Below are 22,273 nucleotides of genomic sequence, written 5' to 3'. Positions count from 1 at the left end.
GGGAACAGCCAGTGGCCAGCAGTCTGTGAAGAGGCTGGGGTAGAATGAAGGCCAGACCCAGGCCAATTAAGGTCTGATGAAAATCCGGGCCGTTTTTCACGAAACAGGAGGCGGGCAGCCCTGCTGCGGTGGGGATGCTGGCTAGATGGAGCATCTGGCACCGATCAATTCCCAGGCCAAGAAGTGAGCCTACATGTGGGTGCAAATGAAATGCCGAAGGCCCGGGGACCCCACCCCCTCTGTCTTTGCCATAATGAAGTGCCAACTGGGAGCCAGCTGGGCAAAGGGGACATGTTGCCTTGCTCCGTCCACTGTTTGGTAACAATTACGAGCATTCTTTCAGCACCAACAGGAACAGTAAGCTGGGGGAGCAATTCTTTGAGCCACCAGGCGTGATCACGAAAGGAGGGTTTAGATCAAAGAGGGTATCAGTAATGTTCAACGCACCTCATGGGTCTCTGGCCTGGGACTAAAGCCGGCAATGGGATGGGGGAGCTGCTAAGAAGTGCCGAGCTGAATTAAGCAGTTCCTCTTTCATCTCTGCCCGTCTTCTTCAGCGGTACCCTCTGAGGGTAGAAATGGTGCCAGTTTCAGCTGGTTCCATGTGCCAAGTTCAAGTCCGCTATAGGGAGGAGGCTGGTAGTCTCCTCCAACCCTCAAGACCGCTCCTGGGGCAGTGGGGAGGTAAGGACCAATGTACCCAAGATCCTTGTTTTTTGTCTTTCCCCTCCTCATTGTGGGGCCCCCTAATGAGAGAGGAAGAGTGTGAATTTCCTTATGTGACTGTCTCCCCCAAGCTTGGCTGATATACTCTTCAGCCCCTACTCCCCTCCCCACCGCTGGCTCCAGCACTGAATCTGGGAACGCTCAGTCCAGCGTGCTGATGAGGCAAACACAGGGAAGGAAAGAGCTCAGTCTCCCAGAACCGGCCAAGAAGTCTATAGTGGGTAGGTAAGAACTCCCGCTGGATTGGGAAACCTTGGTTCTAACTGCCTGGACCACTAACTCATGAGGTAGCATCAGGCAGGTCACTTCCTGTCCCTGGGCCTGTTTCCCCAACTGGGAAGCAAACAGACCAAATAAAGGCCCTTAAAGTCTATGCATGGGTATGCCCTGCCTGTGGCCTAGAAGGCTCATCTAGAAGAGTGGAAAAGACTTATTTCAATTCTGCTCCTTCTTTCCTGGGTGCACAGCACCCAGCCAGGGATTGGATCTCTGACCTTTTTCTGAGGCTGGCTCTAACACAGCAGCCGGCAGATGGCAGAATTTTTTAGAGGCCTGTATCTCTGAAAGATTTGCTACTTCACATCAACATAAAAGAATGTTGTCCTAAGAAGCTGTCTGCTCCTAAGTGGCCCCGTAAGAACTTGCCCTCTTGAGTTTCCCCCACTTGAAGGCTGGAGCATAAGAGCTAAGTTTGAATCCAGCACAGACACTCACTAGCTGGGAAACCAGGGCAAGACACTTCACTTGTCTCAGCCTCAATTTCCTAGCTGTCAAAAGGGCATTCTTTCCTGCATTTAACAAATGTTAGAGTTTCAAGTATCTTCTAGATGGTGAACAAGACCAACAAGGTCTCTACTCTCCTGGTGCCTAAGTAACGGAGGAGGAATCAGGCCAAACAATAAGACAAATACCCAATATGATGGCAGGTGCTAGGAGGCAAAGGGGAATAGACAAGGAGGCTGGTAGGAGGGGAAGGGAGGCAAGGAAGGCCTCTCTACGAAGGTGACATTTGAGTTGAGACCTCCATGATGAGAAGGGGCCAGCCAGTGAGTATCTGGGGGATGAGGTGTTCCTGGAAGAGAGGACAGCAAGTTCAAAAGAGACAGTGACAAACTTGGAGCCTGGAGCATTTGAGGAATAGCTAGAAGTATGTGGCAACAGCAAGGCCAAGGGAGACAGAGGCCAGATCCCGTAGAAACTTCTAGAGCTTCTTGAGGAATTAAGAAGCCACTGGAGGGCTTTGAGCAGGGCATTGGCAGAGATGTGACTGACATTTTTTAAAGTTCACTGTCTACTTGTTGGAGAAAGGATTGTAGGGGAGTGGCTTGTAAAAGCAAGGGAGTTCATGATAGTCATAACCACCTCTCCCTTGCCCACCCACTCTGGGGTCATTGTAAAGCTCACATGAGATTCATGCTGACACCTAGAAAAGCCCAGAGGTACGGGAGGAGGTAGATATCATCACATGTTTTAAAATCCATTTGTACAAGTAGGAGCTTGCAGGGACTGGCACCAGGGTATTTGGAACTGTGTTCCTGTATAGATTTCAAGGAAACGGGGTAGGGTGGCAGATTCTGCCCAGCCTGAGCTATGCAGCTGTCCAGGCCCAAATGAATTCACATATTTAAACTGGGAGCTTTGCTATAGGCCACGCCTGGCTCTGTTTTTGCTGCTGGTGCCAGACAGGGGTAAGCTAACACCCAGCAATGTGGAGAAGCTGACACTCCACGCAAAGTCACTCGCTGAATTCCTGGCCAAAGCTCATCTCTCCTGCCCTCACTTTCAGAACTGGGAAGGAAACAGCAGGAGAGGCTGGAGATTTATTCACTCGGGGATTTTTAACTTCAGAGTGGGCCCCTGCGAGGTCAATGATCAGCAAAACTCCAGCATTCCAGTGAACAAATCTCAGTGCTCAGAGCAGCAGGGATTGAAAGCATCTTGGGTTCCAGCTTGCTTCCTTCAGCTGGGGTTTGGAGCTGGAGGCTTGGATTCAAATCCTGTCTCTGCCTCTAGGTTCCCTCAAGTGGAATAAGAAGATCAGTGGCAGCAGGCTCCTAGGGTTGTCACAGGGATCAAGTGGGAGAGCAGAATGCAAAAACCCTGCCTAATGCCTGCCACATGCACTCACTCCCCCATGAACTCCTGAGTGGCAGGCTTGGGACTGGATAGTGGACGCCCTGGTGCCTGGTAAATGTTTGCAGAATCTGAAGACACGTAGTACATTTTATTCCAGCTCAAATAGGCTAACTAAGATGCCAGGAAGTTCAGAGAAGAGAATAGTCAACAAGATGACACATAGTGAATATCTAGTTTTTTTCTTTCTTTCTTTTAAAGTGTTAACTTCTCAAGATTCTGCCTGTCATCTGTACAATGCAGATACTGAAATTTCCCAAAATTTAACAAAATAGGACCGAGGTTATCTGGTTTTCTACTTTCTCCATGCTCTTTATTTTCTTACATTATTACCTTTTTAAATTTTGTTTATTTATTTATTTATTTATTTTTGAGACGGAGTTTGCTCTGTCTCCCAAGCTATAGTGCAGTGACACAATCTCAGCTCACTGCAACCTCCGCCTCCCGGGTTCAAGCGATTCTCCTGCCTCAGCCTCCTGAATGGCTGGGATTATAGGTGTCACCACCACACCCAGCTAATTTTTTGTATTTTTAGTAGAGATGGAGTTTCACCATGTTGACCAGCCTGGTCTCAAACTCCTGACCTCAAGTGATGCTCCTGCCTCGGCTTCCCAAAGTGCTGGAATTACAGGCGTGAGCCACCACACCAGGCTCATTATTTCCTTTTTAACTTAAGTAATACAACTTCACTAAAGAAAGGTTGGGAAAAAAAGAAGTCAACAAACAAACAAAAACCTATAAAATAATTGTGTAAATGACCTAAACTCCCACTGTCCAGTTATAACTATGCTTTATATTTATATTACCTTCAAGACTTTTCCCTATGCTACTATAAACTTGTGGATACGTCCCCTGCTAATAGAATCATCCAAAATGTGCTTGGTGATCTGGTTTATTTCAATCCCAATATATCAGTTCATATAGCTCTGCCTCATCCCTTTGAATGGCTATGTTGTTTTCAATTGCATAGATACAGAAATGTTAGTTGGATGCTTTTATAAACAACTCTATGATAAACATCCTTGTGTGTTTATATCTGTACATGCACATATGTACAAATAAATATGTATTATATATATAAGCATACACACATACACACATCTTTTTTTTTTTTTTTTTTTTTTTTTTTTTTTTTTTTTTTTGAGATGGAAACTCGCTCTGTCGCCCAGGCTGGAGTGCAGTGGCATGATCTCGGCTCACTGCAACCTCTGCCTTGCGGGTTCAAGTGATTCTCTGCCTCAGCTTCCCGAGTAGCTGGGATTACAGGCGCCCGCCACCACACCCAGCTAATTTTTGTATTTTTAGTAAAGACGGGGTTTCACCATGTTGGCCAGACTGGTCTTGAGCTCCTGACCTGGTGATCCACCTGCCTCAGCCTCACAAAGTGCTGGGATTACAGGCGTGAGCCACCGTGCCTGGCTAACACATACACACATCTTAGCATACTTACCTGATTATTTCCTCTGGATCTAGAAGTTCTCTCCTCTTTCTAAACCTGCCATTTTAGTAGTAACTGAATCCAAGTCAGCAGATCTTCCGCCAGCCATCAGCTGGCCACCCTGCAGACCTCTACATGCAGCATTCAGTATAACTAAGGAAGCCCTAGACACAGTTTCTCAGTTCCCACGAGCTCACCCATCCCTCCCCCAAGTCCTCCCACCCACTGCCCCTGTCCCTACCCCTAGAGGCCAGCTGTTTACCAAACCCGAAAGAAATCCTATCTGCCTGAGTCCTGTCCCTTTTCTGCGCTCATTGGACCCAGCCTGCGATTTCAAAGTTCCAGGGTCTGAGTAGATATCCCAAGACAGGCGGGGCCAGGAAGAGCCTAATCGTTTATGTCATAAAGTCACTGCTCAAAGCCGCCTCCCCAAACAAGGTCCCTTTCTGCCTTCTGTGTGCTCCTTTTCTTATAAAAGTACTCTGGTTGTCATGGGCAATCAGTATTCTGCAAGAGTAGGGAGCATCTCTTTTGGTCAGAGAGTGAATGCAAACTGCCATGTCTTTACTCAGTATCAAAGACATCTGCCTCAAACACTGGTTCAGAAGCGAAAGAACAACATCGAAAGCAGAGGAAATGGATCCAAATGTTTCCTATGAAGGGAGTCATCATAACAACCCATTCAACGAATACAAGTAACTTCCTTTTATTTGTATACAGAGAATTTATATCATACATGCATGCCTCTAACCAGCCTGAGTTCAATGACATATATATATTATTTAATTATGCAAAAAATATATACATATATACACTCCATTTTAAAAGGGCAATTCCTCCCACCCCTGATTCTTCAGTGAGCTCCAGACAGGGATCTGCTGTTGTCTCTGGTGGTGCCAGTCCCTATATGACTACGGGGTTTAAAGACAGATCCTGAGATTGTCTCACTCCCTAAAAGCATCTCAGCTGCTCAACCTGAGGGTACTTGACAACAAAAAAAAAATAGTAATCTGTCACAACACTGATGGAACTGCTGGCTCAGGTGGAGTTATGGAGAGATGGCACTGTATTTTTTTTTTTTTTTGAGATGGAGTCTTGCTCTGTCGCCCAGGCTGGAGTGCAGTGGCGAGGTGTCGTCTCACTGCAACCTCCACCTCCCAAGTTTAAGTGATTATCCTGCCTCAGCCTCCCAAGTAGCTGGGACTTCAGATGTGCGCCACCACACCTGGTTAATTTTTTGTATTTTTAGTAGAGATGGGGTTTCACCGTGTTAGCCAGGATGGTCTCGATCTCCTGACCTCATGATCCGCCACCCTTGGCCTCCCAAAATGCTGGGATTACAGGCGTGAGTCACCGCGCCTGGCCTGCACTGTATTTTACAGGAATGTAAGGGTTTTTTGACTTTCTATGTGCTGACTTCATAAGATGTCACTCCATGACCCTTAGACATATAGGTGTCAAAAGACCTTCACCTATAATCACCTGTGGCAGGGCACTGTGGGGATGTACCATCTTATAGGAGTGGACATGGGGCTCTGGAGGCAGAGTGACTTGCCTGAGACCACATGGATGGCTGGGGAGTTCATTCTGACTGCACCCCACGTCTTTTCACTCCAAGTCTGGAGCTGCCTCCCCTGCTCCTACACGGCCTATTATTAGCACCATGGGAGCCCACCAAGCTTCTTCCTGCCTCAGCCAGTTACCATGCTGTCTGTCCAGAGACCTGCACTCACGGCCCCCTAAGTTGCTCTTGGCAATGCTTCTCCTTCCCTCCAATTGCTATTCCTGCTGGTGGCTGCTCACCCAATCCCAGACCACCACCCTCCAGGCCTGGTCGGCTCTGTGCTAATCCACTGGACCCTGGCTGCTTTGGGGCTGGGACACAGACGGCCCACTGCATCCTGGTTTCTGAGAGGAGACTCCCTTTGGCCAGCCCCAGGTTCAAATCTAGCTCATCTATTTAAGAGAGGCAGAGGACATCCACCCCACTCACAGCTCCCAACAGAAACATCCCTTGCGGCATTCTCTGTGGCAGGTCCCATCTCCTGCAGGGACCTTGGAGAGAGAGGATTTCCAGCGTCAGGTCCGTAAGAGCAATCAGGTAACTGACCACGGGACTTACAAGTCCCACCAGGAGCCAGAAGGTGGCGCCTAGGAAAGGGATGGGCTGTGCTGGCTTCCTACATGATGCTCTAGACCCAAAAGCAAGGGTCACTTGAGTCCTTGCTTTCCCACCATTGTTCTTTTATCTGATTATCAAATGATGTGTCAATGTAGTGAAATTTTATTTTCCAGAAAACACTGGATCAAATTAAAATCATCCAAAATCCCACAGCGCAGAGTAACTAGTGTTGATATTTAGTATACAGACATTCAGACTCTTCTCTAAGCATCTGGATGCACATTCATCTCTCTCTCTCTGTTTTTTTTTTGTTGTTGTTGTTGTTGTTGTTTTTAACAAATTGGCTTCTGTTACTCAAAAGTGCACCATAGGGCTATTCTGGCATCAATAGAGAACTACCTCAACATCTTTTATGACTCTTTCATTCACCTTTCTTTGGACCATCCATTATATTAATAAATCCATTTCTATCAACTCTGGCTATGAGGGCCACACCCACCTCCTTTGACTTCTGATTTTAATAGCACAGCACTGATGACACCTTAGCGGTTAGCAGAAGAGGAAGTGCAGATCTTCACTGTATGAACGCACCATAATCTAAGCAGTCTATTTGCAATAGACATTTAGATTAATTTGGGGATAAACAATGTAGCAATGGACTCCATTGCCTAGTTATTTCTTAGGACTAAATTTCTAGAAGTAAGATTGCTAGTTAAAGTGTATGCACATGTTTGAGGCTTTCGATGCACAGGAACATACTTCCCTCCCCAGACGTCACACCAGTTGCCTTTCCTCTTAGTGGCCTGTGAAGGTGAGAGACCAGACTCCATGAGGATAGGAAGTGCAAGTCCCAGATTCCCCACACTGCTCTGCCAAGTCCAGGGACATCATCTGGAAATCCCCAGAGGCATCAGCACATGGAGCACATCCCACGCAGGGCATGCAGGGGAAATGTGATCATACCCTGTGAACATACCCAGAGACAGCGAGGAAGACTTTGGGCACAGGAGCCAGCCTCGGAGATGGGGAGTTGGGGAAAGGACAGACAGACAGAGCTCCAACTTCTTTTTTTTTTTTTTTTTTTGAGATGGAGTTTTGCTCTTGTTGCCCAGGCTGGAGTGCAATGGTGCGATCTCGGCTCATTGCAACCTCTGCCTCCCAGGTTCAAGCAATTCTCCTGCCTCAGCCTCCCGAGTAGCTGGGATTACAGGCATGCGCCACCACGCCCGGCTAATTTTGTATTTTTAGTAGAGATGGGGTTTCTCCATGTTGGTCAGGCTGGTCTCGAACTCCCGACCTCAGGTGATCCGCCTGCCTCGGCCTCCCAAAGTGCTGAGATTACAGGCGTGAGCCACTGCGCTCGGCCTCAACTTCTTACAGAATAATCAGAAGCAGGGAGTGGAAGGCAGTGAGTGACGGGGGAACCATGAGGCCCTCTTTGTCTTGCAGGAAGTATCCCTCCACTGAGTGGGACATATGGTGACAAGAGGAGCTACGTGGGACAGTGACAAATACCTGGTTCAGGAATCCACCCCCTGGAAGCTGCTTTCCCCCACTCCCCACCTGCTGTGAGATATTGGGAAAGGGCTTCGCTTCTCTGGGCCTCCGCTCTTCCATCCGATTTGCCTTGCCCCTCAGCTGAGATCATCTTAATTCTGTGATTTCAGAACCAGCCTGAAGACCAGGGCAGACAGGTCTCCACTCCATCCCTGTCTGTTAACCAGGTCATTCACCTTTCTATGGACCATCCATTATATTAATAAATCCATTTCTATCAACTCTGGCTATGAGGGCCACACCCACCTTCTTTGACTTCTGATTTTAATAGCACAGCACTGATGACACCTTAGCGGTTAGCAGAAGAGCAAGTGCAGATCTTCAATGGAACGTAAAGAATGTGCTTTTCAAATTCAGCTTCAGCTCAGCCTTTACTGAAAGTCCCTGTCACTGCTGGCATCTCTCACCCACCTGCATTATAAATGGGGTCTTTCCCATTTTGCAATTGGGAAAACCAAGGCTCAGAGTTTACATTTTAGTCAACTAACTCCAGTGGTAAAAGGCAGAGACGGGATTCCATCTCTGCTTTTTTTGACTCTAAGTTCATCTCTTTTGACATCCTCCACTGTCTCTCCAAACCCTTCAGAAGAGCCTGGGAGATTGCACCGGTGGGTATTCTTTATGCTCAAAAATATAAATTCTCTAGTGCAGGGATGAGATCATATTGAAAGAGCATGAAGCCACCTGGGTTTCTCGGATTGGTCATGCTTGGCTCAGAGACCTTGAAGCCAATTAACATGTCTCTCCCTACCCTTTATCATCCATAAAATAAGCAGTGAGAGAATTAATTAGCAATATCTGGCAAACTCTGCTCTTTATCATTCATACATCACTTCTAATCTAATAAGTAAGCAGTTAACCTCCTTTTCTCCTTCCAAGAACCCACATCTGTTGACTTGGCTTTCAAATAGGTATGAGTAAGCTTCTGTGATCCTTCACCCTAAAACATATCCCAAGCCCCAAACCTCCCCTTGGTCCCAGGTGCTCCTTGGTGCCTGGGGGTAATCAGGTCCTGGTGATGCCACGACTTGTTTTCTCCGGGCCCCTGCCCAACCCTAAGCAAGCATGTTGCAGAAGCAAGATGTGCCAACTAAGCATGGGTCAGGACAAATCTCAGCCTGACCCTAAAGACTACCTCCATCCTCAAAGTAAATGGGGTTAAGGGGGAAGAAGTCAACCAGCCAGGTGCCGGGGAGTTACGGCTTTCAGGTGCAGGTTTTCCAGGCCCCTAGGTGATGCTAGGTGCTGCAGTGGAATGGGTGGATGAGCAGAGGAGGATGACACACACACGGAGTAGAACACACCACACACACACACACACACACACACGCAGTGGAATGGGTGGATGAGCAGAGGATGACACACACACGGAGTAGAACACACACCACACACACCACACACACACACACACACGCGCACGCACACACACACACACACACAGGGGAGAAAGGAGGAATGCTAAGGAAATGCCCTGTGATCATGCCCTGAGGGAGTGAGGAAGGGCTTGGGCACAGGAGCCAGCCTCAGAGACGGCCTGAATAGGATGAGAGGGCTGACTCTGCTGAGCCAGGAACGACACCTACACTCCACCTTCATAGGAATCAGAAAAGCACCCACTCTCAGTGTTAGAAGCTTGCACCACCCCCCACACCAAAAAATCCCCTCAAGGCCCTGATTCCCTTGGGCTCTAAAACAAACAAAAAAGCTAATGGGTTTCCCAGGAAGCCATGTGGTAGGATGGATATCACAGAAAACTATGGTTGCGAGAACTTCCCTTGGGCCCATGCGCAGAACAGGAAGTCAGGCAGTGAGTGGGCTCCCAGGAAGTTAATATACACTATGGACAGGTAGCAAGTTATGGACAGATAGCAAGATAGCCAGTTAATATACTCTATGGATGACCCAGCAAGTTTGCTGTTTCAGAATCCTCCTCTTCTGTTTTTTGAACTTTCGAAAACAAAAGATATGCTGGGAGACGCGGCCCCTAGAGTGTGCTTACTCCAGGTCCTTGATTGTCCAGACTGTGGAGGGGGAAGGGCAGATCTATGCCAAGAGGGGAACAGGCTGTAGAGGCCACAGCTGATTCATTTTTGTGACCTTAGCACTCTGCCCAGCACCTGGAATATAGTAGGTGCTCCATAAACCTGTGTTCAAGGAGAGAATCTGTCCATAGCATATGTATTAATGGGACCTTTATAGTCAATGGACATCCTTAGAAATCACATACCCATCGTTGGCTGGTGGTTGAGAAAAAAAGGTAAAAAATGAGATACACCCTTCTACATGTTTGGCCTCCAATATGGGGCCGGGCTGGGCCTCGAGAAGGAGACCGCAGGACCTCACCAGCAAGGCATCGTGTCCTCTTTGTGTCCTGAGATGCCTTCTCACTAAGCCTCTTTCCAGACCTTTGGTCCTGGGGATCTGCAGTGAGCAGAGAGGCAGCTCCTTGCGGGTGAAACCCAGCACCGGCCTGCAAGGCCAAGCCTCCCCATGCCAACACAGCTTATTTCCTCTTTCACTACCTCACTCCCTAGTGGAAAAAACAAGAAAACAAAATTCCCCTGAGCAATCTGAAACCCTGTGACCCCCTGGCCAAGTGGCAGATCCAGCTCCACCTTGATCCCCTCCACTTTCCTCTGGCTCACCTATACTTAAGCGCAGAGGCCAGCCTCGAGGTTATTTATAACTGTGTCAGAGGAGGAGGAGGCAGGAAATAGGAAATTATGCAGGAGGGGGCGAGGAGTAGCTGCAGGGGCCAAGTGACCCCGCTGGCTGGCTTGAAATCCACTACCTGCCTGGCCCGTGGCTTCAGAGCCCCATGACAGGGAATTCTTACCCAGACTGGATTCCTCCTGGTCTCTGAGCCCTACCTGCGAATCTCTTGCCAGTCACTTCCCCTTCTCCAGATCCAGGTGGAAGCAGTTTTATCCTGAGACTTTCCCCCTAGGCCGGCCACAGTGACATCAGCTTTTCTGACTGCAGTTAATGGTGCAAGAGCTGGAGGCCAAGCAGGAGGCCCAGCGCCGGAGGGGAGACAAACACCCAGCCCTGGGAGCAAATGGGGTGGCGGCAAACACACGGCCTTTTAAGTCCACCAGCCCTATCCTTCTGTTTCCTTTCCTCCTTTAAATACTCTGAAAGCGAGAGTCTGAATAGTGACTACTTGAGAACCCAAGACTTCTCCTTAACTTCATCCAGAGGACTCAAAGGGAAGGCCACTCAACCAGAATCACACAGCAGAAGGAGCAGAGCCAGGCCTGGGGTCCCATTTTCTGGAGGCACTGGCCCCTTTTTCTACACTACCATGCTGCCCCCAGCCCCTGGGCTAACTAAGACTCCCCCATTCTAAATGTGAGTGCCCCTGATGGACCGCATAGGCTGGATGTGCCCGTCCTTGCTTTGCCCAGCAGAGCCATGTCCATAAAGATGGCATCCCACGTCAAATCCTGTAGACTACTGCAAAATATCCATCAGCCAATTTCTTCACCAAAACGCTCTGAGCAGCCACTGAACTGGCAGTGCCATTAATTTTCAGACAATTTCAGACTAAGTTAGGTTACCTTTTTGGGGGGATTTTGTTGCTGTTTAGTTTCAACACCATTATTGACTCAGTGATACTCTAGGGCAAGTGTTCTAATGATCCAAGATAGCTTTTAGGAGAATTTCTGAAGCTCTTGAAATTTGTATGCATAGCTTTAATCAGAATCCCAAAGGTGCTCCTATCGGTAAAATGATTAGGTAGGACGGTGATGTAAGAGAAGTATAGAACAGAGAGGGGAGAGATCTGGCCCAGACGACCAGGGGACCAGGGTGGGGTTGCACCGGTATGTCCCCTACTGTTCATTACCTGCTCGCAGGGTGCCTGCCCCATGGACCTTCAATCAGAAACATCTCACCTTCACACTCACCACAATGTCCTTCAATCATGTCCTTAACGGTATAAACAAGATCCTAGGATTTAAAAATCTGATGTGTGCCCAGAACTGAGCCAAGCAAGATTATAAAACAAGTCATGACCACAGGAAGGAACTTTAAATCTGGCAAATGTGTGACCTTGAAGGTCAGCCTTCCCTTCCTCCTTTTTCTTCTGGTCCCTACAAAGCACCCACTGGCACCACTACAGCCATTTCTGTTTGGCAACCCTAGGAGAGCAGCTTCCCTGTGTAATGCAGATGATACTTCCTAATTTCTTCTTCCCTACTCAGCAATCACAATGGCAGGCAAGTGGGCAAAAGGGGTTTTCAGAATCCTCATCTGGGCAGTGTCTCACCAACTGCATTTGTAGGTGCTTCTTGGGAAAATTAGTTCCTTGGCTAGATATGTTCAGAGAACACTGGATTAAACAGAGCTAAACAGGTCACCATGCAGCAGGACTTCTCAGAGCTTTTACTATGCTAATAGCCACATGTCTCTCCAAGAGGGGAATACAATAAACAGCTCTCCCAAATAACATTTTTTTTTTTTTGAGATAGAGTCTTGCTCTGTCACCCTGGCTGGAGTGCAGTGGTACAATCATGGCTCACTGCAGCCTCAACCTCGTGGACTCAAGCGATTCTCCCACCTAAGCCTCAAGAGTAACTGGGACTACAGGCCCAACCACCTTTTCTTTTTTTTTTTTTTAAATTAGTAGAGACAGGGAATCTTACTATGTGACCCAGACTGGTCTTCAATTCCTGGGCTCAAGCGATCCTCTCGCCTCAGCCTCCCAAGGTGGGGTTATATGCGTGAGCCGCTGTGCCCGGCTCCAAAGAACATTTCTTAAGATTGGTGGTGCAAGGATCACACCTTGAGAAACACTGATTTAGGCCTTCCCACAGTACAAAGAAATGTTGCCTGCCCCATCCTTACAGCACACCTGATGACTTACAAGAGGTGCTGCTGAATTCCTCCCAGGGAAGCGACCTTAATTCTTCTCAGCAAGACAAGGAGGCAGCCTTCAGGAAGGACCCAGGAGCTTGGTATTAGAGGATGATCCAAGTCTGATGGCAAATTTAGAGTGCTCCAGGGAACACTGAAGTCTTGATGATAGGGCAAAAGGGAGTGATTCCATCTTTCTAACCTGGCAGGATAGCAGGTAACAAGACAGAAATAAGGAAAAAGCAAGCTGAACTTGTCTTTCCCTGACATTTGAACTGCCTGCTGTTCTCCTCACCAAAAATAAAAAAGCTGGTCTCAAGACAACAAAAGTAGAGAAGTAAAGGTAACAGAGGTCTCCAGCCTGCAGGAAGACTCATATAACCTCAGTCCAAAGTTCTTTTTATACAAAGCACAGATTTTTACTGGCTAAGTGCTCACCCAATGACCCATTTTCAGTATTTGTTTATTCCTGTATTTCACCCATGTTTATCGAGCACCTACTGAGTGTGTGGCCCGTAGTCAGGAATGCCCATCAATTACCAGGCAGCAAGGCTATTCTTAGTTTTCTGATGTCTATTTAAAGAGTGTTAATCCTCTGGCCTCCCCCCTACCCCCGCCCCTGCAATTAGACACATACCACTTTCCAACCTGGTACACTGACCTCGCCCAACTGGGAAGGCGGAATGGACAAGTGTTCTTCCCACCCTGCTTAACTTGGCCAAGAATCTGGCTTCATGGGTTAGGGCAGCCTGGGAACCAGCCAAGCCAGAGGAGACGAGCCTGCTTTGCCTGGGCCCTTCAATCAGTGCTGGGGTCAAAAACCTCCCTGTTCTGTTCCTTACTAGTGGCACAGTAAGGCAGAAAGTGTTGAGACTCAAGAGCAGAAAAATCCAGGCTGTCTAGTGGGGCGGTGAAGACCACAGACCACAGAACAGACACACCTGCTCAAATACTAGCTCTGCCATCATGCAGTGGGGTGACCGTGGGCAGAATTGGTGAGATTGCTCGGACTCTGGAGTCAGGAGGTCCGGCTCAAATCTGGCTTCACTATGTAGGTACATACTAGGTAAGTTACCTAGTCTCTCTCAGCTTCAGTATTTTCATCTGCAAAGTGGAATGAGGAGGACAAGGATGATAACACTAATAATTTCTGACATGTATGTTTATAGTAAAGAATAGAATTTATTACATGTATATATGTATATAAAGATCTTAAAATAGCTGTCAACAAATAGTAGCTGCTTTCATATTTAATTCCTCTTAAGTCCCAATTTTTTTCATCTGCAAAGTAGAAATAGGAGTGCCTACCTCAATGAGTGGTTATGAGAGTTTAAAGGAGATAATGCTTTAAAAGGTCTTGGCATATAAAAACAAATCAATAAATGTTAAAATATTATCAAATGGTTATTATTTTTGTTCCAGTTCCATCTCTATCTCTTAAACCAAGCTGCTGTACCTCTTTGGACCTCAGTTTCCCCATCTGTCAAGTGAGAGACCTGGATCAGATGGCTTCTCCAGTGTCACCGCACATGGGTTCCCTGCACTGGGACCCACAAGGCCTAGAAGTTACTTGCAGCAAAGCTGTCAGTAGCCTCTGAGCCTTGGTCAGCCCAAAAGTACCTCGAACAGCCCCATATCCCTGTGCACAGTTCATGAAACTAGAAATGGGGAGGGGAAGATGCCTTGCCTTTGCAAATGTTATCTTGACCTGTGCTGTAGTATTAACATGGCGGCCACTAACCACAGGTAGCTGAAACGCAACTAGTCCAAACTGAGATATGCTATGAGTGTAAAATACATAATGGATGTCAAAAACTTAATTTTAAAAATATTAAGATCTTATTAATAAGTGTAAAATTGATTACATATTGAAATGGTCATATTTTATACATATTGGGTTTAGTATTAAAATTAATTTCACTTTTTCCTCGTTTTTTTAAACATGACTATGGGAAAATTCAAAATTGCATACATGGCTCACGTGTAGCCACAATCCTGTTTCTCCTGAGCAATATCAATCTAGTTTTTTTCCCTTTCTGTCTCCCCGCTTGTGAGCCACCCAGTAAGAAACTCTTCTCAGAGGGATACCAGAAGGAATTCGAACTATTTGTAATTAACTTTTTGAAACAAAATAAAATCCAGATGTTAACTATCCAGGTGGAGCATTCTATTTTAGCAGCCTCCAGGAATCTCCTCTGGCTTAAAGGAGCCCTGAATAAATAAAATCTATCCAGCTGCCAAAGCACCCCATGATGTTACCATATTTATCAGCACCTGAAGTTCTAAATCTCCACTCTGGTCAAGCCATCTCTTGTCTTTCTCCGTTAGAAAAAGATGGGCAGTGGTTTCTGTTTTATTTTCCAAGGTACTTGCCACTGTTTAATACGGTAGCTTAGCAGTTAGGAATGGCCTTTTCTCATTAAGCTCAGCTCCCAATGTTTCAAACCAATCTCTTTCTTTCTTTCTTTCTTTCTCTCTTTCTTTCTCTTTCTTTCTTTCTTTCTTTCTGTCTCTCTCTCTCTCTCCTTCCTTCCTTCCCTCTCTCCCTCTCTCCCTCCCTCCCTCTTTCTTTCTTTCCTTCTTTCTTTCTTTTTTTTTCTTTCTTTCCTTTCTTTGTTTTCTTTCTTTCTTTCTTTCTTTCTTTTCTTTCTTTCTCTTTCTCTCTCTCTCTCTCTCTCTCTCTCACACACACACACACACACACACACACACACACACGAGTATTGCCTGGAAAGGCTGGAATGCTGTCTTTCTCAAATGTTCTTATTCATTCATGATACTTTTATTGAATGCCTACTAACATCAGGCAATGAGCTGGTGAGCAAGACTTGGCTCCCATCTAAGGGGAGGCAGTAATACCATGTAGTAATAATATGATGGCTGACATTTATCAGGTCCTTACTACATGCCAGGCAATGAGCCAGGCCTTTTATTTCCATTGTGTCTGTGAATTCTTCCACAACCTATGAGGTTAAGAGTACTATTATTGCATACTCCATTTTACAGATAGGAAAAATGAGACCAGGGAATTAACTTGTCCAGGGACAGGCAACTAGCCATGAACGAGGCCAAGGTTTGAGCCAAGTGGTCTAACTCCAGAACCTGTGCTCCAGCTCAGAAAGTGTGGGAAATGCAGGACACATTTTGCCAAAAAAAAAAAAATTGGGTGTTACTCACTCAGAGATCCGAGAATTGAAAGGAGATTCTAGAAATAAAATGGATTCCAGATCACAAAACTGGTGACCCACAAGGCTGAATCTGGCCCATGGACATGTTTTGTTTGGTCCACGTGTGTGTGTGTGTGTGTGTGTGTGTGTGTGTGTGTGTGTGTGTGTGTGTATCTTTTCAGAAGATGTTACATTAAAAATTTGGATTTCTTGCTTGTCCTAAGAGACTGGAAATCTGGCATCACTAGACTCACATCCTGATAGGCTGGAGCTGGACAGCAGCTGTCCCCTCCAGAAGGGACCTGGACTGTACGGTTCACCACAGTTACTGCCACTCTCTATTGTCTCCCCAACTCCAAAGCCAAAGCTCAGATGCTGTTTATCATCACACTTGCCCACTGTTTTATTGCTTGTCTTATAATAAAGAAATCATTTTTAGTACCTGTTTAGCTCTCCAAAATGGAAACCAAGAGAATGGGGAACCATAAACATATTTGGTAGGAGTGAGTAATATTCCAATATGTCTGATACTCAAATATCCAGCTTCTGTGCCTGGTCCCTGTAGGCACTGGGTTTGTGACATGGCATGGATGACAAGTGAGGAAATCCAGGCCAAAAGAGAATCAGCCAAAGAAGGAACTGGAACCCACACCCACCTTCCCACCTTAAGTATAAGCTTTTTATCCACTGCACTCATTTGTTCAGAACTGCACCCTGGAGACCAACCTGGATTCTGAGATTCTTGGATCTCTCAGTCCTTGCAGTGGTGAAGTTTGACCTTCCAAACTTCCTCAGGATCTTTGGAGCTTTCTATCCTGTCACTGGGGTTTCTCCCTGTCAGGGGAGCAGATAGTGACTGCCCAATGGGGCACACGTTTGATCTAAGTCTTCCAAATACCCTCCTCATTCACTTAAACAAAGGTTCCATCAGATCACACATGTGTTCATCTGAGCCAGACTTCCATGAGAGAAGTCCTCTCAGCAACAGAAAATGTTTGAGCCGAGCCATGAACCACATTTTCCAGAGTGAGGCACTGCTCAGGTAGGCTGTGGATAAGGAAAGCCTTATTTTGATGAGTATTGAGTCTTAATCCCATTTCTTGTCTATCAGCTTCTTCAGTGGTGTTAATGAGGTTCAATTTTTACCAAGCCCTCCCACAATCAGTGACAGGCCCTGAAGTGACCTTGAGTCTTAATTCTAGCCATCGACTAAGTCTGCAAGGTTGCTGTCTGTTTGGCAAATCAGCCCTGCTCCAACAGAAGTTTGGTGGTCAAATATGTCATCTGATAAAGTATCTCAGCTCACTAGAGGTTTTGTTCAGAGCCCGCATCCACTTTTGCAACCACAGAAATCCTGGCTCTTACCTTAATAGACCATATTTCTAACAAAGTTACCTACTGAAGGGTGTGGTTGACAGATTTAGGTGCTGAGTTATTCAGCTAAAGTAGAGAGCCCTTTCCAAGGGAACTTAGAGCCAGAAAAACTTGACCATAGTAGGCATTCAGTGAAATACACACCACATAGAGCCAATATCCTGCTGTTTTACAGATAAGAGACCAAACCCAGGGAGGTCAGTATCACCAAGGGGACTCCAGAGTCAGATGATGAACTAGGACTAGACCTTAGGCCTCCTAACTCCAGCCAGTGCTCCTCCTCCATGCCACACTGCACCTCCTAGCCCTGGCAGTGGATAGGGGAGCGGTTGCTGACTCTTCAGCCAAGTTCATTGTCACCATTCCATTTCTAGGGCCCTCTCTTTGGCTACCCTAGTGACTTCTACCTCTGCTTATCAATGGGAGCTGTCTAAAGAGGGAAGGGCAGCACCAGATCCTTGACAAGTGTTGGGCTTGCCCTCAGAAGACATGGGTTCCAATCCCATTCCATGTATTGGCTATATGGCTAAGCCACAGAACCCCGCCATTCTCAATACTGACATCCACTAACTAGGAACTATGACCGACCCCCCAATCACCATCCTGCTTTCCTCGTTGCGAAGTTGTCATCAAATGAGATCAAATGGACTTAAGACTCTAAAATGTGAAGAGTTGTGAAAATAGAGTAGGAACTTTGTTGTTTCTTTCTCTGCCCTGTGGGAAGCACTGTGACAAAATGGAACACATTAGATTTGGAGGCGGGGGGATCAAACCACGATTTTGAATTGAAACTCAGCTCTCTCTATATGACCCTGGAAAACATCACATCACACCACAGAGCGCCATTTTCCTCACCGAAAGTGAAGTGAGAATATCAGCTCTGCTCTATAACAACACTACTACTAAAAGCTCATGCTTATTCTTATTGAGCTATTCTGTGCCAAGAATCAGTCTCTTGTATAGACTAAGGGCTACAACTTTTTAGACTTGGGAAGATTCTACCCATTTTGCGACCTCTCCACCTGAGTCTTTGGCTCCCCACTTTTGGGGCCCCCCTCAGTCTGCTTATCTTTGATTTTCTTCCTCTCCAGACATGCCTTCCCTGCTGCCCCCAAATTTTATTACCGTATAGTCAGTTCTGGGATCCTAACATAACCAAGCCTTACCTCCTAACCCAGTGCCCTTTCAACTGTCTCAGTGGTTCCCAGCCTTTTCAACACTAAGGAATATTTAGTGCTAAACATTCCATGAAGTATTTCACTTAATTGCCAATGAAGTTACCACGTGGTACATAATATATTTCCCCCCATTTTAGAGATGAGGAAACTGAGGCAAAGAACCTGCCCAAGCTTGGGAGTAGCAGAGCTCACTAGAGCTATCATGTTTCCAAATCGAAAAGGCAGGGAGCTTATTCATGATGATAAAGTCTAAGTCAAAAGGGAGCCCTTCCTAAATACATGAGATGCAAACACCTTAGTCAAACACCTCAAGTCACGAAACCAAGTCTTCATGAAATCTGACCCTGGTTGCGAAACTCACCATCCCCACATCCTAATCCAGGCATTGCAGGAGCTCTGAAGTTTCTGAATGAAACAGCTCTTCTCTGCAGGCAGCCAGGCGGCCCTGTGCCTGACACCCTCATGGGCAGAGGCAGAGGGGATAATTACCATGTAGTATTTAAGATCTCTAGTTCCGGAATGGCTCTTGGAGGCTTGGTCAGCTCAGGACTTCCCCTCTCCACTCCCCAGTACCCACCCCCCGCCCAATCATCTAGGGCTCTGTTTTTCCACTAACTGAACTTTACCTTGGGCTCTCTGAGGCCAGATCGTACAGCTTTCCTTCCCTTCCCCACCCCCACAAAAAGCCAGGTGGCTGCAGGCTTGGAAACACTTATAGTTTCTTGTCTCCAAGCCGTGAATGCCACCATTAGGTGATCGGATTTACATGAACATAAATCAGACTTGAGTGTTGGGTAGTGTGGACTGTCCCTTCTGTGACAGCAAAGCCATCCTAGCCACACAGATGGCCTCTAAATGGGTCAGGAAAGGTTCTCTGGGGCCCCTCTGAAGCTACAAACACTAATTTTTTAACAGCTGAACAAAAAGACCTCTTAGTTCCACTGCAGCCCACATAGACACCTGTGGGCCTCCTGTCAAACAGTATTTAGTAAGTCCCTTTAGCTAGAATCAATACTTTGTGTACCCCTGGATGCCAGACATGAACATAGGAAAATATCTGAACCCATGTCACCTCCTCTGAAAGGATAGGGACCTCAACTAGGACACATCAGTTACCTGCTGTCTATCCCAGGCATGGTGGCAGCACTGTGGGTAACAGGGAGAAGTGACAATGGCAGTAAATGCATGGGACCTGCCCACAGGGAGAAGAGATGCTAAGCTGGCATGAAACTAAAGATTCTCAGGAGGGGCAAAGGACAGCGATATACCAAAGAAGCCAGGAGCTATTTTAGGCATATCAGTAAGCCAACCCAAATCCGACAATGCAATCACCCAGGAACCCATGAGAAAACTTCCCAGGCTTATGAAAACACCAACCGTCCTTGCTTTCGGCTATAATTAATTAGTATATTAGCTGATTGTGTCAGAATAATGACTGGCTAGTATCAGCAGTTCTAGTTATATTTTAATTTGTTTTTTAATGGAAAGTTAATCAACACTCAACACATGAAATTGTGTCGGATAACTGTTCCAAACACAGAACTTATTGGAGGGAAAAATTAATTTTAAAAAATTCCATAGTGTTGAAAAGTCTGGGAACCACTGAGAGAGTTGAAAGGGCACTGGGTTAGGAGGTAAGGCTTGGTTATGTTAGGATCCCAGAACTGACTATACAGTAATAAAATTTGGGGGCAGCAGGGAAGGCATGTCTGGAGAGGAAGAAAACCAAAGATAAGCAGACTGACGGGGACCCCAACAGTGGGGAGCCAAAGACTCATGTGGAGAGGTCGCAAAATGGGTAGAATCTTCCCAAGTCTAAAAAGTTGTAGCCCTTGGTCTATATGAGAGACTGATTGGAAACACAGGTTTTGGAGATAGGCTAAGCAAGTATAGGTTGCAAGTGGTGTGAGCTTGGGCAAGCCATTTGGCTTCCCTAGCCTGAGACAGCTCATCAGGCAGCTGGGATGACTGATAGGCAAGTAAGGAGCTTGGTACAGTGCCTGGCACATAGTAAGGGCACCAAACTTACTATGAAAATTACAGTATTATGTTTGTGATCTCCTGCAGGGTTGGCATTTAGAAATCTCCACTTTCTTCTCTGGGAGGGTGCTAGGGTATCATGTCCACCAGAAGACAGGACTAGACTTATCAAGTAATGCAGAGAGCATAGTGGGTGCTTACCCTCTAAAGTGGGTTAGGTTTATCCCTCTGGGTGGCACGCAGCCCTAAGTTCTTTCTCCCAGCGCAGGAATGATCCCCTCTGGGAGTTTCCCATGCAGCTTTGGAGAATTTGGGTTTTACTAGAGATGGTGTTTTTCAGCATGCTTAAAATATGGGCAAGGTTTATGACTGTTCGTCTGTACCAATGCCAAGGAGTGATCAGGGAAAGGAACCAAAGGAGACCTAGAGAATGAGAAGTTAATGAGGACTGTTCAAAACCGAGGGGGTGTCATGGGCCAAGAGCCAGAGAGACAGAGTATGAACAGCTGGAGCAGGACAGACCAGTGATGAGACTATGAGGATGAGGTAGGCAGGGTCCACACTGGCCCTTGTAAAAGCCATTTGATGATACTTTATCCTAAGAGTCCACTGAAGAGCTTTCATCAGAACAGGAATTCTTTCCTAAACCAGGCCTTCTAGCTCCCATAATAATGAGACCCCAGCGTCCTTCTTGGCTGGGGTCCACCCAGCCTCCCTCTCGGCAGTCCATCCTCCTCCTTGTGACCATCCCACTGCTCTCACCCAAGTGCCATCCATAGGCAACAAGAAGGGAGACAGATGAGTGAGTGCCCTTGCTGCCACCATGAGCCTGGCCAGCGGACAGCTTTGAGTCAGAAAGCAAAACCCTGTGTATGTGTGTTCAAAACACAGCCACATATACCTTTGAACCTGAGTCCATGTAAGTCCTCAAAGTCAAACAACTTGGTGTAATAAATGGTCCACTGCTTATTCTGAAAGCAAAATAAATACATAAAGCTATCTTCAACCGAATTACTCCAGCATGCAACAAGTCAAGGGTCACAGCTTTCCTGGCATTGCAGCCTTCCTCTCCCTATGAAAATACTCCCATTAACTTGATCTTCGTGGCCCTAATTTTGCTCCCTTTCAAAGAGACAAAAAGAAGGAAAAAAAACACTCAGTAAGTCAATAAAAATTATAAATTGTTTTTCTATTTGAGAGAAGCATGGGAGTCTCTTAAGCACAGGGCTCTAACATTCCTCCATCCCCTCATGTTGCATATATGAAAAGAACTGTGTTAACACAGCCACTGTGGAGGCCAAATTGGCAGGAACTATTAAAATTGAAAATGCATATTATATAATTATAATAATATAAGAGTATGTAGTAGTATATATAATATGATATGGTATAATGTGACCTATAGTATAGTTGTTAAATATATTTTAGAGCCAGGGTGAAGGGGCTTAAATACAGGCTGTATTCCTTGCTAGCAGTATAACCTTAAACGAGTTACCTCATTTTTCTAAGCCTCAGTTTCCTCAGCTGTAAAATGGAGATGACAATAGCACACCTCCCTCATAAAACTGAGAGAATTAAATGAGTTAATGTAAGTTAATGACTTAGAATAATGCCTGGCACATAGTAATCACTCTATACTTATTAGCTGTTTAAAATTATAACCTCATGAAATACATAAAAGAAATATATATATTATATATATAATATATATGTAAATATAATATATATATATTATATATAA

General features: G+C 46.1%; 2 protein-coding genes and 1 long non-coding RNA gene across 20 annotated transcripts in view, besides 1 other annotated feature; 1 reads left to right on the top strand and 2 right to left on the bottom strand.

The window, feature by feature from the left end:
* The window catches only part of SYN3 (synapsin III), a 550,562-nt gene that overhangs the window by 228,723 nt on the left and 299,566 nt on the right, over positions 1–22,273 (top strand). The window lies entirely within an intron of this gene.
* The window catches only part of TIMP3 (TIMP metallopeptidase inhibitor 3), a 61,337-nt gene that overhangs the window by 33,383 nt on the left and 5,681 nt on the right, over positions 1–22,273 (bottom strand). The gene's annotated exons all lie outside the window — the stretch shown is intronic.
* Positions 8,833–9,332: an enhancer, noted in NCBI's record as "H3K4me1 hESC enhancer chr22:33216313-33216812 (GRCh37/hg19 assembly coordinates)". NCBI's record gives its function as "activates a minimal SCP1, AML or CMV promoter by ChIP-STARR-seq in primed H9 embryonic stem cells {active_cell/tissue: H9 hESC(primed)}" and the evidence as "EXISTENCE:reporter gene assay evidence [ECO:0000049][PMID:30033119]".
* Positions 15,319–18,343, bottom strand: LOC124905104 (uncharacterized). Its single transcript, XR_007068068.1, has 2 exons — positions 15,528–18,343; positions 15,319–15,358 (listed from the first exon to the last, which is right to left on the bottom strand). It is a non-coding gene; the product is annotated as an uncharacterized LOC124905104 (long non-coding RNA).

Source organism: Homo sapiens, chromosome 22, assembly GCF_000001405.40.
Source record: "Homo sapiens chromosome 22, GRCh38.p14 Primary Assembly".
NCBI classification, from domain to species: domain Eukaryota; kingdom Metazoa; phylum Chordata; class Mammalia; order Primates; family Hominidae; genus Homo; species Homo sapiens.
The sequence above is the reverse complement of the archived record's forward strand: the minus strand, read 5'-3'. Positions and strand labels throughout refer to the sequence as shown.